The 19020-nt window shown below is 41.6% G+C and overlaps 1 protein-coding gene across 2 annotated transcripts in view; it reads right to left on the bottom strand.

Annotated features, from left to right (window-relative positions):
- PSMD11 (proteasome 26S subunit, non-ATPase 11) overlaps positions 1–19020 on the bottom strand; it is a 38810-nt gene that overhangs the window by 12791 nt on the left and 6999 nt on the right. For both annotated transcript variants that reach the window (NM_001270482.2, NM_002815.4), the window contains exons 3-6: positions 15910–16034; positions 6409–6480; positions 5951–6008; positions 1336–1530 (exon numbers count right to left, since the gene is read on the bottom strand). In NM_001270482.2, coding sequence (NP_001257411.1) covers positions 1336–1530; positions 5951–6008; positions 6409–6480; positions 15910–16034 — 450 coding nt within the window. The remainder of the gene's footprint in view (positions 1–1335; positions 1531–5950; positions 6009–6408; positions 6481–15909; positions 16035–19020) is intronic.

Here is a 19020-nt window from a genome sequence, read left to right as displayed (position 1 = left end):
GCCAGCCTGGCCAACATGGTGAAACCCCATCTCTACTAAAATACAAAAATTAGCTGGGCATGATGGCAGGTGCCTGTAATCCCAGCTACTCGGGAGGCTGAGACAGGAGAATCGCTTGAACCCAGGAGACAGTGGATGCAGTGAGCCAAGATTGCGCCACTGCATTCCAGCCTGGGTGGCTGAACAAAACAAGACCCCATCTCAAAAAAAAAAACAGAAACAAAGGCCAGGCATGGTGGCTCATGCCTATAATCCCAGCACTTTGAGAGGCCAAGGTGGGAAAATTGCTTGAGCCCAGGAGTTCAAGACCAGTCTGGGCAACATGGCGAAACCCTATCTCTACAAAAAGTTAGCTTGGCATGGTGTCGCGCTCCTGTAGTCCCAGCTACTCAAGAGACTGAGATAGGAGGATCACTTGAGCCCAGGAAGTTGAGGCTGTGGTAAGCTGTGACTGCACCACTGTGCTCCAACCTGGGCAACAGAGTGAGACCCTGTCTCAAAAAAAAAAAAAGTAAAAACAAAACAAAAAACTAGACTGTCACTCATTCAACACAAACATTAATGAGGCTCTATCATGTGCCAATTATTACCATTTTACAGATGAGCTAAACATAAATTAAGTAACTTGCCCAAAGTCACATACTAGAAAGCAGCAGAACAAAATGTCAACCTAGGAAAGCCTGATCCTAGATCAGTACATCCCTGACAGATGAGTCGAGTAGGCATTATCTTTTACAGATGAGAGGTAACACAAGCACTTAAACTCGTCTTCTGCTTCCAATTCCAACATTCCTTCAATAATGACGCCTCCAGTAAAAAAAAAAACTGCTGAATACAAAAGAAAGTATTCCACCTGCCAATCCATGGCTTCCCAGCCTCACATTCACGCACTCCATCGGAAAACTACATACCACACTCAGCTGAAATTGGGTTATCATTCCTCAGCCCTGATTTGAGGCCCTTTGGAAAAGTCAACCAACTTTACAAAGATCTCCAAGAGTCAACAGACTTGGGGTAGGCCAATCCCAAAGGAAAATGCTACTATTCTGAGTAAGTGGCTAAGAGCTAAGGGAGTCTTCTACGTGCGACCTTTCTAAGTTTGGTTCTAAAAGTCAGATTGCCTGGTCAACCACAGATAGGTATGTTCTTAATACATTTTAGGCAGTTAACAGGAGGGGAGCAGCTAGTTAGAAAGGTAGCTTTCTAACTGGTTCTCTGAAGAAGCTAGAGCCAAATCAGCCAATTTTATTCTCCAGCCCCAACCCCCATTCCTTCCACCTATAAAATAAGATGAGCTTTAAGAAAACACATCCCAGGAATAGCTACGTCTGTTACCCGACTGCATGTCCAAGGTGGCCTGCAATTTAGGGGGGCAGTAGATGGCATTTGCTGTGGTTCGAGCAGAAGTTAAGGCAGCTCGGGCTTTCGGCAGGTTGCTCAGGGCATGGTATGTTTTGCTTTCTAAAAGCTGTACTTCCACCAAAAGAGCTTTGTCGTCCATCTTTTTCAACTCCCGCAGCAGCTGAGAACCTGAAAAAGGAAAAGACATTCTCCTTTATAGCCATCAGCTTAATACCTAATAATAGCTCACTCTCCCACCCTCATAACACTCAGGATTAAAAAAAAAAAAAAATTCCTGAACTCAAAAAAGGTTACCTCTAGACCCCATGCAATAATTAAATTTTCCACTAATGTGCTATCTTCCAAGAGAAAAACACACCTCTTTGAAGTTTTCTGCTTCCTAAGGACAATATTAGAGCCAACAGTCCTATGAGCTTACTCCTAAGATTTAAATACAGTGGGAATCTCTACCTATAAAATGCTAAATCTAGTTATCCAGTTCAGAAAGACACAATCTCGCTCTCTTCTTGTCTAGCAATCACAAGGCTATATAAGAAACACTGGGGCACTAGGTTGATGAAGGAAGTAAAGAGTTCTAGATATACCAATGTTCTCCAAATATACCTTCTTCCCTGACTCCCCCATCTCAAACTAGAATATCAAATTCAAACAGACTTACACCATATACATAAATTGACTCAAAATGGATCAAAGACATAAATTTAAGAGTGAAACCTATAAAACTTCTAGAAGAAAACAGAAATAAATCCCTGTGGCTTTGGATTTGGCAATGGTTTCTTAGATGTAACACCAAAAGCATAAGCAACAACAAAAAACAGGTAACAGAACTTCATCAAAATTAAAATGTACTTCAAAGGACGTCATCGAAGGAAAAAAACAACCCACAGAACAAAGAAAAAAAAATTGCAAATCATGTATCTGGTAAGGGACTTGTATACAGAATAAAAAATAAACCTAAATGCCCATCAACGGCAGACTGAATAAAGAAAATGTACATATACACCACAGAATACTATGCAGCCATAAAAAAGAACGAGATCACGTCCTCTGCAGGAACATGAATGGAGCTGGAGGCTATTATCCTTAGCAAACTAAAATAGGAAGAGAAAACCAAATACCACATGTTCTCACTTGTAAGTGGGAGCTAAATGATGAGAATACCTGAACGCGGAGGGGAACACCACACACTAAGGCCTATCAGAGGGTGGGAGGAGGAAAAGGATCAAGAAAAATAACTAATAGGTACCAGGCTTAACACCTGAGCACCAAAAAATCTGAACAACAAACTGCATGACGCAAGTTTACCTATGTAACAAACCTGCACATGTACCCGACATTAAAACAAACTTAAAAAAAAGAAAAGAACTTCAGAATAAAAAATAAAAACAAGAGCTGGGTGTGGTGGCACACGCCTATAGTCCTAGCTACTCAGGAGACTGAGGCAGGAGGATTGCTGGAGCCCAGGATTTCCAGGCTGCAGTGAGCTATGACTGCACCACTGTACTCCATCCAGGTTGGGTGACAGAGTGAGACCCTGTTTCTAAAAAATAAAAACACAAATAACCAATTAAAAAATAAGCAAAGGATCTGAATATTTATCTGAAGACATACATATAAAGGAGGCCGGGCGCAGTGGCTCAAGCCTGTAATCCCAGCACTTTGGGAGGCCAAGGCGGGCACATCACCTGAGGTTAGGAGTTCGACACCAGCCTGGCTAACATGGTGAAACCCCGTCTCTATTAAAAATATACAAACTAGCTGGACATGGTGGTGCACGCCTATAATCTCAGCTACTCGGGAGGCTGAGGCAGGAGAATCACTTGAACCCGGGAGGTGGAGGTTGCAGTGAGCCGAGATCGTGCCACCGCACTCCAGCCTGGGAGACAGAGCAAGAGTGTCTCAAGAAAAAAAAAAAAAAAAAAAAGGCCGGGCATGGTGGCTCACGCCTGTAATCCTAGAACTTTGGGAGGCCAAGGCGGGCAGATCACTAAGTCAAGAGTTCGAGACCAGGCTGGCCAACATGGTGAAAACCCGTCTCTACTAAGAATACAAAAATTAGCCGAGCATGGTGGTGCGTGCCCATAATCCCAGGTACTTGGGAGGCTGAGGCAGGAGAATTGCTTGAACCCAGGAGGTGGAGGTTGCAGTGAGCCAAGATCACGCCACTGCACTCCAGCCTGGGTAACAAAGAAAGACTGTCTCAAAAGAAAAAACAAACAAACAAACAAACAAAAAAACAAGACATACGAAGGAGCAAAAAGCACATGAAAATATGCTCAGCATCATCAGTCATTAGGGAGATGCAAAACAAAAACATAATGAAATGCTATTTAGGATGGCTAAAATTAAAAAATAACAAGTGTTGGTAAGGATATGGAAAAATTGGAACCCTCATACAATGTTAAAGAGAATGTAAAATGGTGCAGCCACTTTGGAAAACAGCTTACTTAGCAGCTCCTTAAACAGCTAATCAGTTACCACATGACACAGTATAATTCCACTTCTAGGTATATACCCAGAAGAACATGTCCACATAAAACCTGTTCATAGCAGTATTCTTAAGAGCTAAAATGTAGAAACAACACAAGTGTCCATCAACTGATGAATGGATAAACACATGTGATATATCCTTACAATTGACTATTATTCAGCAATAAAAAGGAATGAAGTACTGACACATGCTACAACATAAACCCTGAAAACATAATGCTACGTGAAAGAAGACAATCACAGAGAAACAAATATTGTATCATTTCATTTTTAAGAAATACCCAGAACAGACAAATCTACAAAGATACAAATAGCTTAGTAATCGCCCAGGGCTGCTAATGAATAGGAAGTTTCTTTCTGGGGTGATAAAAATGTTCTGAGGCCAGGCACGGTAGCTCACACCTGTAATCCCAGTACTTTGGGAGGCCAAGGCAGGCAGATCATTTGAGGTCAGGAGTTTGAGACCAGCCTGACCAAAATGGTGAAACCCCATCTCTACTAAAAGATACAAAAATTAGCCAGGCATGGTGACAGGTGCCTGTAATCTCTGCTATTCGGGAGGCCGAGACAGGAGAATCGCTTGAACACAGGAGACGGAGGTTGCAGTGAGCCAACATCACACCCCTGCACTCCAGCCTGGACGACAGAGTGAGACTCCATCTCAAAGAAAAAAAAAAGTTCTGAAATTTTTTTCTTTTTTTGGAGACAGAGTCTCGCTCTGTTGCCCAGGCTGGAGTACAGTGGCATAATCTTGGCTCACTGCAACCTCCACCTCCCGGGTTCAAATGATTCTTCTGCCTCAGCCTAACAAGTAGCTGGGATTACAGGTGTGCACCACCATGTCCTGCAAATTTTTTGTATTTTTAGTAGAGACGGGGTTTCACCATGTTGCCTAGGCTGGTCTCCAACTCCTGAGCTCAGGCAATCTGCCTGCCTTGGCCTTCCAAAGTGCTGGGATTACAGGCATGAGCCACCACGCCCAGCTGAAAACTTTCTGAAATTAAGTAGTGGTGATGGTTGTACAACTTAGTGAATACACTGAAAACCACTGGATTATACACTTTAAAAGTGAATTTTATGGTAAGTGAACCATATCTTATTAAAGTTATTTTTTAAATGCTCCTATTTGAACCATATGAAATTGCCACTTTTGCAGTCCAAAAATTGAATATTGGAAACTCTTCAACCTAATAGATCATAAGAGCCATGTTCTTTTGTTCGGAAAAAATAGTCCAGATCTACCCACTCATAAAAAGCAAGCAGTGGCCGGACACGGTGGCTCATGCCTGTAATCCTAGCACTTTGGGAGGCTAAGGCAGGCAGATCACTTGAGGTCAGTAGTTTGAGACCAGCATGGCCAACACAGCAAAACCCCATCTCTACTAAAAATACAAAAATTAGCCAGGCACATGCCTGCAGTCCCAGCTACTCAGGAGGCTAAAGCAGGAGAATCGCTTGAACCTGAAAGGCAGAGGTTGCAGCGAGCTGAGATCACACTGCTGCACTCCAGCCTGGGCAACAGAGTAAGACTCTGTCTCAAAAAATAATAATAATAATAATAAATAGATAGATAGATAGATTAAAAAAAAAAAGCAGAGAAGATTTCAAGGTGTTTAAAGGCCACACAGGAAAAAGGCTTCAGTTAGCCACTCCAGCTTCCAAATATATTTGTACCCAATTAATTTCTTGATTTTTAAAATAGATTTTAAGTATATAAGCAGATATAGTAAATAGGACAGTAAGCCAAACATTTGCCTTTAAAAACCTAAATCTGAAATTTAACAGAGTACTATATGCAAAATATAGATACACTTTTTTTAAATTTCAGTTATTAAAATGGAATTGATTTTACTGCTCCAAATTCAAGTAAACTTAAAACTACCCATTTGTCCTCTAAATTTGACAGATTAACTCTAGCTAGTTTTTTAAACTTTCAAATGACATTTTCCCATGACAAATGCAGAACTGTAAGCTACTTTAAATCCTTCTTAGAAGTCAGTAGAATATAAATTATTAACAGGTAATTAGTAAGAGTAGCCAGGTGGTTTAGAATACATTCATTTAGCTAGCTGAGATGACTTATTACCAGCTTACTTACCCAAATGCAATGCTTCCTGGTACCTCTTGGTATCAAAGTACAAAGACACCAGTCTTGCCTAGGAAAGAGAAAAGGCATTGATTGAAGGGGGGGGAAAAAGCCACAGAAAGAAATCAAAGATTGACAGTCACAGAACTGTTACTGTTAAATATGCAATTTCTGATGATAGCATCAAATTCAGCATAAGAGACGATCTAGCCAATGTATTGTCTCCTATTATAGCCAGCAAATGACTGTTAACTTTACCATGTTGTTGCTTACTACTCTGAGCCAAGTAGCAAATCTGTCTCAAAACTTCAATCAGAGCAATTATCATAAGTGGGGCTACCATCAATAATCTTTCGGTATCTAGGTAATTACAAAGTTGCTGAAGATACTTTTGATAAGGATGGTACTGCTTACATTCACCCTCTGTCTCATGCTTAGAGACCTGAAATGAGTACTAATGTAAAACCTACCTCCAAAGCTTGGCGTAAGAAAGTTCTTTTCTCTGACTTGGCCCATTCGATGCACTCTAAACACAGCTCGACCTGCAATAAGGAGAGACAGTACATGCAACATTATGTCCTCAAATTCTTCCCACAAACCATGCTTTGGAGAACAGCTTAAATTCCCTCCTTACATATTATCCATGTTGCTCTATTTAGTGTCTGATCCACAGTATCTCAATGTGTAATAGTTATATCATAATGGAGCATCAACTTGGCTTTTTACACATAAAATATTTTTGTGCTTAGATTATGTTTTTTAGGAAAAGAGCTCTATCTTCAAGACTCCTACCTACTGAGGAGAGACCAAGAACTTCCAAACAACATGTATAGACCTGGAATGTAGATTTCTATGACAGATTAGGAATTTTTAAAGCACAGATTTCTCCCTGGTTAGAAATAGTAATGGTAATGTATAATACACAGGTAATAAAGGGGAGAAATTCTCATCCTAAGCACTAATGCCTCATTCCTAGCAGTTGCTTTTAAGACTCAAAAGGTCCAGCTGGCTTTTTCCCTTTCAGATTCTAAGCAGTGCAACTAATCAATTCATCATCACTCTTAAAGCAAACAGGTACAGTAACCTAGCTTGCATTAAAGGGGATAAAAGCTGGTCTGAAGGTAATGAGTAATCTCGATTGTTCACAGTCAGTTACAGATTGAGCTCCTGATCTACTCTTTCCCTGCTTCTCACTACTGCACTTTGACTAGTCTTAAAAAAAATTTTTTTAATTAAAAAAAAAAGAAATTAGAATTAGCCTAACACGTAAAAGCGCTTTTAAGCTTTATTTAAAGGCACTCTGAACCCCTACTACTATCTGCCACCTAAGTAGTGAGGTAAGGTGCAAAGTAACTGACTTAAAGCAGCACTCAATGCTAGACAGTCTAGCACGCCATCAGGTATCCCTGACATGCTAGCTTTGACAAAGTAAATATTAAGTACTGAAGATCTTCTATCACTTTGGTTACTGCAAGTTTTATATTAAGGTTGCTAACTAGAGCATAAGAGCAAAAGAAATGAAATGAGAAACTGAGCTCTCCAGAGAACTAATTGCTAATACAACAGGTTTTTATATAAATCCAAAGTTCTCTTAAGAAATGCTGGCCAGGCGCAGTGGCTCATGCCTGTAATCCCAGCAATCTGGGAGGCCAAGGCAGGTGGATCACCTGAGGTCGGGAGTTCAAGACCAGCCTGACCAACATGGAGAAATCCTGTCTTTACTAAAAATAGAAGAAATTAGCCAGGTATGGTGGCTCATGATCGTAATCCCAGCTACTCGGGAGGCTGAGGTAGAATAATCCCTTGAACCTGGGAGGTGGAGGTTGCGGTGAGCCGAGATCGCACCATTGCACTCCAGCCTGGGCAACAAGAGTGAAACTCCGTCTCAAAAAAAAGAAAAGAAAAGAAATGCTGTAAGAAGGAAAAACTATAGGGACATAATCCAAATTGACAGGATCTTCTACTTTTAGATCCTAAATTCTAGCTCTGTAAATAAATTAATAGATAACATTACACAGTATTCAGAGGATTCACCAGGAAGAGAACCAACAAAACCTTTACAACTCCTCACTGGAGCCCCCTGGTGGCTACCTAATCTCCAACTCTAAACTCAACTGACCTCATAAAAATTACCTAAAAATAAGACAGAACCAAAAACTAAAATAAAAGCAAGCTTTATCACAATTGCAGAGTTTTGAGTTATATTCTGAAAAGCTAAATTCAAAGTAAGATTTCTAATATAAATGGAACTGAAAATATTTCTCTGAATAGTCTTAGCAAAGGAAATATAAGTGTTTAGTTCTACATGACTTCAAAGGGTAAGAAGTGCCCCCCACAGTTTTACCCAGGGAGTTTTTTCAAAGGACACAAAAATGAATACCTAGGACTTAGAAATATTCCTCTGTAAGTTTTATTTCAATAAACCATTTACCACACTCATCTACCAAAAAAAAAGAATGCCTGGGCTGTTGATTCATTAGTCTAGAATAGAGCTTGGTCATTGAAAGTATATCTCTAATTAAGAAACAATGAATTATACTCCTGCAATTCACCTGCCTCCATTTCCCTGATAGTCCAGACACTAAGTGATTCACCTAAGGTGAACTGACGGGTAACATCAGAGGATTTGCCAGTAAGAGAACCAGCAAAACCTTTGTAACTCCTCATTGGAGCCCCCTGGTGGCTACCTAATCTCCAACTCTAAACTCAACTGACCTCATAAAAATTTTCTAAAAATAAGACAGAACGAAAAACTAAAATAAAAGCAAGCTATATCACAATTGTATAAGATGAATTCACCTAAGGACTACTAATCGGTTAATATCTGGACTATCACATATATCTGCTGCTGGCACCAGAACTTGTGCCTAACTCCAGCACTCTACCTATCTTAACCCAGCCTTAAGTTAAGGTCATCATAGATGTTTCTCCTACAGCAAGGATTTTTTTTTTTTTACACGAACTGGATATCTTTTTTCTTTTTTTCTTTTCCTTTTCCTTTTTTTTTTTCTTTTCTTTTGAGACAGAGTCTCACTCTTGATGCCCAGGCTGGAGTGCAATGGCGCAATCTCAGGTCACTGCAACCTCCACCTCCTGGGTTCAAGCACTTCTCCTGCCTCAGCCTCCTGAGTAGCTGGGATTGCAGGCGCCTGCCACCATGCTCAGCTAACTTTCGTATTTTTAGTAGAGAGGTTTCTTAAAACGTGCTATTGTGGGTCGGGCACAGTGGCTCATGCCTGTAATCCCAGCACTTTGGGAGGCCAAAGCGGGCGGATCACGAGGTCAGGGGTTCGAGACCAGTCTGGCCAACACAGTGAAACCCCATCTCTACGAAAAATACAAAAAATTAGCAGGGTGTGGTGGTGTGCACCTGTAATCCCAGCTACTCGGGAGGCTGAGGCAGGAGAATCACATGAACCTGGGAGGCAGAAGTTGCAGTGAGCCGAGATCATGCCATTGCACTCCAGCCCGGGCGACGGTGCGAGACTCCGTCTCAAAAAAAAGAAAAAGTGCTATTGTGTTTCAATTGGGTAGACTATACCAGAAAAGTTGCCCATAGGCTACTCCCCAGAGATCCCTGGAAGGAAAGTTGAGTTCACTATTTGGCAAGAGTCTGGTTCAGTCTTCCTTCCCTCCTCTTCACCTTACTTTTCCACTCCCCAGCCCTTGCCAACCAACCCATCCTCACTCTCTCACTCCCCGACTCACATGCCCTCACTTTCTAGGCTCCAAACCTTGCATTTAAATGAACAGATCATAACCTGAATCATACCAACTTTGGGAATAGCAAGCTGAAGATGGTTCTCTAGATATATCTGTCTTTTTTTTTTTTTTTGAGACAGTGTCTCACCCAGGCTGGAGTGCAGTGGCGCTCACTGCAAGCTCCGCCTCCCGGGTTCACGCCATTCTCCTGCCTCAGCCTCCCCAGTAGCTGGGACTTCAGGCGCCCGCCACCACACCTGGCTAATTTTTTGTATTTTTAGTAGAGACAAGGTTTCACCGTGTTAGCCAGGATAGTCTCGATCTCCTAACCTCACAATCCGCCCACTCGGCCTCCCAAAGTGCTGGGACCACAGGCGTGAGCCACCATGCCTGACCAGATATATCTGTCTTATAGTTAGTCCTCAAATAGAAAAAAGCAAGGGAAATCCCCTCCCTCATATTCTCAGTACCAAACTCCTTAACACAAAATTCTAGCTGTCTTAACAGTATTCTAAAACGTCTTATTTAAACCAGGCACAGTGACTCACATCCGTAATCCAGGCACTTTGGGAGGCTGAGGCAAGCAGATCACTTGAGGCCAGGAGTTTGAGACCAGCCTGGGCAACATAGCAAGACCCTATCTCTACAAAAAAATTGTTTTAATTAGCCAGGTGTAGTGGTGCACATCTGCAGTCCCAGCAACTTGGGAGGCTGAGGCAGGAGAAATGCTTGAGCCCAGATGTTCAAGGTTACAGTGAACTACGATTGCACCCTGCACCCCAACGTGGGCCACAGACCAAGACCCCCATTTCAAATAAATAAAACTTCCCATTTTGCCTCAGGCCTCAATACTACCATGATAGCCATGGTATGTCTTGCTTGTCTATTCTTTCCCACCTATGACTTGCTTGTCTATTCTTTCCCAACACCCAGTCAAAAAATTTTAAAAGAACTAAGAACAAGGCCGGGTGTGGTGGCTCACACCTATAAACCAGGCACTTTGGGAGGCCAAGACAGGCGGATCACCTGAGGTCAGAAGTTCAAGACCACCCTGGCCAACATGGCAAAAGCCCATCTCTACTATAATCCCAGCTACTCAGGAGGCTAAGGCAGGAGAATCACTTGAACCCGGGAGGCAGAAGTTGTAGTGAGCCAAGATCACACCACTGCACTCCAGCCTGGGAGACAGAGTAAGACTCCATCTCAAAAAGAAAAAAGAACTAAGAATAAAAATTATATCCTATTTCCCCAAGTCAGAGACCTTGAGTTACCTAAACGAATGTAGTAACAACACCCCATGCTTACATTTCAATTCAATAAACTCAGATCTTAATTCAACAAAGTATTTCCTGGCTGGGCATGGTGTCTCACATCTGTAATCCCAGCACTTTGGGAGGCCGAGTCCAGAGGATCACTTGAGCCCAGAAGTTTGAGACCAGCCTGAGCAACATAGCAAAATCCCATCTCTACTAAAAATACAAACAAACAAACAAACAAACAAAATTAGCCAGGCGTCGTGGTGTGTACCTGTACTCCCAGTTATTTGGGAGGCTGAGGTGGGAGAATCACCTGAGCCCAGGAAGTTGAGGCTGCAGTGAGCTGTGAGCATACCACTGCACATCTACCATAGGGAAGGCACAGGCACAGTCCATACATTCCTTTGACAAATAGGTATGCAGCTTCTTCAAGCCAAAGTACTCTAAGGGCTAGGGATACAACTTAAGAGTATATAAGCAAAAAAAAAAATACATATATATATATATATATATATATGTATTTTTTTTTTTTTGAGACACTCTCACTCTTCTTACTCTTGCCCGGGCTGGAGTGCAGTGGCACGATCTTGGCTCACTGGAACCTCTACCTCCTGGATTCAAGTGATTCTTGTGCCTCAGCCACCTGAGTACCTGGGATTACAGGCATGCACCACCACACCTGGCTAATTTTTGTAAAAAATAAATATTGTTAAAAAGGAAACAAAGATAGGGTGATCAAGGAAAGTCTCTGAGGAGGTAAGATGTGAGCAAAGACTTGAAACAGTGTAAAGAAAAAAAATCCTGTTAAGATCAAGCTGACAGCAATCCATATGTATATGAATGTCCCAACCCCAGACAGTTTGAAGCATAAGGCAATAAGGCCAGTAATTACAGCTGTAAAGAAAGTAAAAGGAGACTAGTATAGTGGATGTGGTCAGAGGTAGCCATGGTTAAGGAATTTGAACTGTACTGGGAATGAGGAAGGCTCTGTGGTACTGCAAGGCACATAGTGCTTCACCTGAGTGAGATTGTATTACAGTAAAGGAGACAAGGCAAGTGTAAAGCCACTGTCATACAAGGCAGAATACTCAGAGCATGTACAAAATACAATGTGAGTCACTGAAAGAGTTAAAACCACATTAAAGTCAGGAAGGAAAGAGTTCAGAGGAGGTAGAACTTGAGATAAGACTATGGAAGAGAAAGGTACAGCATGAGGGTTATACAGGCTTGTTCAGCAAACAGCCAGGGATCCAACATGGCTGACATATTTGATATGCTTAGTAGAGTCCTGGGAGATTAGACTACTGCAGTAGGTTGCAGTAGGTTGTATTATAGAAAACCATTAATTATCTAATTCTGCAGGCAATGGAAAGCCACTGAAGGTTTGAGTTGTGGGAGAAGAGGGAGAGGAATAAAATTATCAGAGGGCTATTTGGTAAGGTATCTCTGACAATGATGGAATGAGGCTTTTACAGTAGTCCAAGTAAAAAAAAATTAAGAACCAAACTAGATGGTAGTTGTAAAGAGAGACCACAGCTGGGCGCAGTAGCTCACGCCTATAATCCCAGTACTCTGGGAGGCTGAGGCCGGCAGATCACAAGGTCAGGAGTTCGAGACCAGCCTGGCCAACATGGTGAAACTCCGTCTCTACTAAAAATACAAAAATTAGCCAGGTGCAGTGGCGGGCACCTGTAATCCCAGCTACTTGGGAGGCTGAGGCAGGAGAATTGCTTGAACCCAGGAGGCAGAGGTTGCAGTGAGCCAAGATCGCAACACTGCACTCCAGCCTGGGTGACAGAGCAAGACTCCATCTCGGGGAAAAAAAAAAAAAGAGAGAGAGAGAACAAATACAAAAGAGGTGGAGAAGCAGACAATGAAGAAAGCTGAATTGACAAAATTTAACAAATGGCTGGATGTTGAGGTTGCCCATATTGAGTCTGAGGTGCAGGTGAGACAGTCTGGATGATTCACAATTTGCTCCAAAACAAGCAAATAACCTATAATCCACAAAAATTACCAAAAGAGGTCCTACTTAGTGGAATAAGACTCTGGTTCATGATAAAAGCAAAGCTGCTAACCATCAAAAAAATCAGCCTTAGCCGGGCGTAGTGCTGCACGCCTGTAATCCCAGGACTTGGAAGGGCAAGGCAGGCAGATCATTTGAGACTAGGAGTTTAAGACCAGCCTGGGCAACATGGCAAAACCTCATCTCTACAAAAATACAAAAATTAGCCGAGTGTGGTGGTGCATGCCTGTAGTTCCAGCTACTCAGGAGGCTGAAGCAAGAGGATCACTTGACTCCAGGAGGTTGAGGCTGCAGTGAGCCAAGATTGTGTCACTGCACTCCAGCCTGGGCAACAGAGCAAGGCTGTCTCAAAAAACGAAAACAAAAACAGCCTTTACTAAAAAGTAAAATGACACTGATGATAAAATGATACAATGCCTAAAAGTGTTTCCTTTCACCCTAAGGAAAGGAAGAAAGGTCTTTACTTTATATAAATGTAATGTGCAATGAACAATGACAACATATAACCACAGTTAAGGGAGCGCCTAACCAGTCAGGGAGCCATATGACAAAGGCCAGGAAATCCTACTAGCGAACTATAGCAGAGCACTTGAATGGATTTCCACAAAGGAACAGGAGAAATGATCATTAAATAAATGCAAGTCAGGCACAGTGGCTCACGCCTGTAATCCCAGCACTTTGGGAGGCCAAGGCGGGTGGATCATCTGAGGTCAGGAGTTCAAAACCAGCCTGACCAACATGGTGAAACCCCGTCTCTACTAAAAATACAAAATTAGGGCCAGGCACGGTGGCTCACGCCGGTAATCCCAGCATTTTGGGAGGCCGAGGCAGGCAGATCACGAGGTCAGGAGATCAAGACCATCCTGACTAACACTGTGAAACCCCATCTCTCCTAAAAAATTACAAAAACTTAGCCAGGCGTGGTGGCGGGCGCCTGTAGTCCCAGCTACTGGGGAGGCTGAGGCAGGAGAATGGCATGAATCCAGGAGGCGGAGCTTGCAGTGAGCCGAGATCGTGCCACTGCACTCCAGCCTGGGCGACAGAGCGAGACTCCGTCTCAAAAAAAAATAGCCAGGCATGGTGATGCATGTTTGTAGTCCCAGCTACTCAGAAGGCTGAGGCAGGAGAATCCCTTGAACCCGGGAGGCGGGGGTTGCAGTGAGCCACGATCACGCCATTGCACTCCAGCCTGGGCAACAAGAGTGAAACTCTGTCACCAATAAAAAAAAATAAATGCTGTTCTATCCGCTGAGTGAGCTCTAGGTTATGGGGATGGATAATTTCAGAAACTTCAGTGTGCAAAAAGGAGCAGCTTCCATAATTAACTTTTCTGCCCAAAAACTTCCAAGTAACATTTATCAGTCAGTTTCAAATTAACATTTACTGATCAGTCTATTTTAAGGTACTCTATTTCAAACAAAGAATGGTATCACTTTCATGATTTTTTTTTTTTTTTTTTTTTTGAGACAGAGTCTCGCTCTGTCACCCAGGCTGGAGTGCAATGGCGTGATCTCGGCTCACTGCAAGCTCCGCCTCCCGGGTTCACGCCATTCTCCTGCCTCAGCCTCCCAAGTAGCTGGGACTACAGGCGCCCACCACCACACCTGGCTAATTTTTTTTTATTTTTAGTAGAAACGGGGTTTCACCATGTTAGCCAGGATGGTCTCAATCTCCTGACCTCGTGATCCACCTGCCTTGGCCTCCCAAAGTGCTGGGATTACAGGCGTGAGCCACCGCACCCGGACTCATGAGTTTTTTAAAGTACAATTTTTAAAAAAAGTTAGATAAGACTAATACCCTAAATAACTTTTAATTTTTTCATTAAAATAACTGACACTTTAATTCAAAATAGCCATCTAACTTTTTATATACTATCATCAAACAGTTTTGCCAGAGACATAAATCTGAAGACTACTCTACAAATGAATTTTCTACAAATAAAGTTAGTATATAGTGTTTAAATCAGGATTCAAAGAATCATTAAAGCCAGATTTTACAAAAGGTATGATTCCAAAGTAGGATCCATGTGTCCTAGGTTTCTGAAATTCCCATTTATTCAATATGCTACTATGGCCTTTCATACCTTTCACGCCCACAGAGGCTACAGCAAACAATCAGACATATAACCAACTAGCAATTCTGCCCTTATATTATCTGCCATTTTACATTTGTTTATTGCCTGCGTTCCCCGTTAAAAAATAATCCTCATGACAACAGTGACTGTGTTTTTACAACTGTATCCCCAATACCTAAAACAGTGCCTAACACGTAGCAGGCACTCAATGAGTACTGATCAATATATCCATAAGAAAAACAACAACTATATTCTTCCTACAAACAGATTCAAGCAATGACAATATACCCTGCTTCAATCTGCCACTTTTTACAGAATGATGTTTAATTTTGGTATGCGTCTCTTCCTGAATTGCAGAAAATACAGTTATCTTTGAGAAGGTTGGAAGATTCAGTGATTACTGAGAAGCACTCTTTAATACAGCTCAGGGTCTAGTCTGAACTTGTGGGACACATACAGGAACACCAGAGTCACTTCTGCACAATGAGACACAAATGGATGGATGCTCACCCCTCAATAAAGGCATATATGCAGTACAAAACATGCTAAGAAGGAATACCACAAGACTTAATTAGTGCTCAGAAGGAGCTTTGTGACACAAGATGAAAGGTACCACAGACACAGAAAACATTACAAAGGTGTGGCAATACAATACCTCAAAGACAAGAATCAGTTTGTGACCCTGATGTAATGAGGATTCCAGGGACCACTGACAATCTCCACTTACAAAGCAAAGCATGGAACAGACCCAAAGTATCAAATGCCCTGTAACAAAGAGAAACTGACATGATAAGTCCTGCGCTGTCCTCCCAGTTTTCCCTTCCACATTAGTACTAAAGTGCAGGTAGGCATTTCTTTCTTGGAAACAAACTTTTCTCCATATTGTCTACTTTCTGTCATTAATATCACTTACCTCCTGCCCTGTAGCTGCTTCCATATCAAGAAACAGATCAAGAAGAGATCGGACCAGGCGAGCTGCTTTAGCCTTGCTGATGGAATTCAAGAAGGGTCGTACATACTTCAGGAGTCCTCCAAGCTCTGTAGGAAAGGCAATTCAAAAAGAGGAGTAAACATCAACATTTGAGACAAAATACCCACTTAAGAAACTGACCCAACGTCATAAAAATCGGTACTTACATCACTGGAATCAGTCTAAGTGAAACTTACTAGGAGTTTAAAGCATTCCTAGCAAATAGCAGAATAGCAAAAATAAGTTAACATCATATACCAAATTTGCATTCTGTTCCCTACTCAGCCACTGGATTACTATGAAGTTGCAGGAAAAGCTCATGTCTCTGCTTCATTTATCCATCTTAATGAAAGATAAACAGCAAAGTATTCATAATCTCAAAAACCAGTTTTCTAGAACATGAAATATGCTGTGTCCCTGCCACCTTCACAAAATTACTTCCTCACAACCAATAAATATGATCAGGTCATAGGGGTAATTTTTTTCTAACTTCCAAGTCTGCTTCAGCTGTTCCCCTTAGACAGAGATTTTCTACTCCAGATTCCTTTTTCCTGTCTTTCTGCAGTGCTCCCCAGTTTAGCCTTTCTGCATTGTCACTTCCCTGGCACTCTTCTGAATAAACTTTTCACATAGAAGAGTGTTTTGCCCTTAAAGTGCTGCTATATCTCTTTTAAATTCCTCATTAATCTTCAAAACCTAAGTCTTAAACTATGACCAAAAAAGGGATCCATCACAGAGCTTTTCCCCCACTATATAGAAGAGGGCAGTATATGAACTCTAAAGAAACATCTTTTGAAACAATAAACTAGAGATATGCTTGTCAAATAGTAAAAATTAGAGAATGGTTCAACTCAACAACTAAGGAGGTATTTTGGAATGTAGGTTAAAATTACTTTAGTGCCACTGCCTCTTTAATATTCTCCAATTGCAGACTCACCCTCCTGAGAACTCTAATTCAGGGCAAGCAAACCTCACCCTCCAGAGAATGCTAATTCAAGGCCCTGAAATCCTCATCTGCCTGAATAGTCAGAGAATGCATGGGACTGTGTCCGGTACTTAAGAACTTGATATAGAGTAGAAAAGTTCATCTTTTCCCTTCACTCCCCAGTAATGACCTTTGATTCCCAATGTTTAAAACTTTTCGCCATTCTGCCACCTCATTCACCTCTGCACAAGACTACAGTATATACTCCTGCTTTCAAGAGGCACTAATGCCATAATCCCATCTGAAATGTCTTGCCATCTTCTCAGTCTATATAAACCTTATATATCCTTTTAGGTCCATCTGAAGTCCTATTGAGTTTCCCATGTAACTCCAGTCTACAGTGATTCTCCCCCTCAAATTCCTTTTGCATTTATTTCAATTATATTATGTAATGATAGCTTTTTAAAAGTAGTCTGAAGCAATGTCCCTTCTCCCACAGAATTTCCTCCTGTGCCTGAACAATTCTGAATGATTTCTAGTCACAGAAATGTTCACAAAGCAGCCTATTCCAATGTTGGCCAAAACAAATTATTCCTTTTTGAAACACAAAACACAAATCTATACCTTCTTTCACATGGCTTTAAATACTTAAAGATAATTATCATTTACATTTCCCTAATTTTCCCTTTATCCAAGCTTAACATCTTTGGCTATTTCAACTGTTCCTCCGAAGTCCTTGTTTCTAGGTAACTTAGTTGCTCTCCTCTGAACAAACTCTACTTTGTAAAGGTACTACTTGTGGTATTTTGTGGTACCCAGAAATGAAAACGATTGCTCCAGGTAGGGTCTGACAGTAGACCAGGAGGCAATTTAATTCTCTTGATCTGGCCATGATATGTAACACAAGATAGCATGTTTTGCTTTTTCTAACACCTCTCTTTGTTCAGACTGAGCCCATTAAAGTTCTTTTTAATAGACTACTGTCAAAACAGGTAATTCCCCCAACTTCCTCTGTTTTGAAAAATACTTTAAGTATATAATTTAATCCTTATCGCAACTGAATTTAATCTTCCTGGCTTTGGCAATAACTGTGAATTTTAATTCTGTCTTCTAACTGTACTGAGTCATCTACAAAAATAAGCATCCCTTCTGAAATGGCTTTAACCATGATTCCAGATGCTGACCAGAAAAACAAGGACAGATCCTCATGACACAATGCCTGAAGACTTCCCTTCAGGTTGACAAATGATCCATTTATTAACATGTTTTGGATACAGTTATTCAGCCCATTGTAAATTCATAACCTGTACCTGTGATATTAATATTATGGCAAATGTTCAACTACCCTGCTTACATCAGATATACAGTCTATATCATTCCTCTAATCCAGAGGCTGGCAAACTTTTTCTGTGAAGAGCCAGATAGTAAATTTTTTTGGCTTCACAGGTTATATGGTCTTAGTAGCAGGTCCTGAACTCAGCCAGTCACACACAATGTGGAAACAAATGGGCGTGGCTTTGTTCCAATAAAACTTTATTTACAAAAACAGGTGGCATGCAGACCCCTGAAAATCTATGGGTCTGATAAAGCTAACCAAAAAGAGAACTAGGCTGGGTGCAGTGGCTCACACCTATAATCCTAGCACTTTGGAAGGCCAAGACAGGCAGACTGCTTGAGCCCAGGAGTTTAAGACCAGCCTGGGCAATATGGCGAAACCCCCTCTCTACAAAAATTAGCCAGGCATGGTGGTGAAGGCCTGTAGTCCCAGTTACTTGGCGGGCTGAGGCAAGAGCACTGCTTGAGCCCAGGAGGTCGAGGCTGCAGTGAGCCAAGGTTGTGCCACTGCACTCCAGCTTGGGTGACAAAGTGAGACTCTGTCTCAAAAAAACAAAACAAAACAAAACAGAGAGAACTAAGGTGAATTTGGAATAATCTGTTCACAATAAATCCACTTTTTTTTAAGAGATTACTATCTCCTTATCAAATAATCTGTCCCAGAACTCTACCACTGATGACCATGTATAGTGTCTACTCTTTATTTTTAATTTCTTTATTTCAATGTGCAGCACACAGTGAATACATCTATTCTTTGCATTACCCTCTTGAAAGGCAGGATAACATTTGCCTCA

The sequence above is a fragment of the Homo sapiens genome, chromosome 17 (genome assembly GCF_000001405.40).
Source record: "Homo sapiens chromosome 17, GRCh38.p14 Primary Assembly".
Lineage (NCBI taxonomy): Eukaryota > Metazoa > Chordata > Mammalia > Primates > Hominidae > Homo > Homo sapiens.
This window is presented reverse-complemented; position numbering and strand designations above follow the sequence as displayed.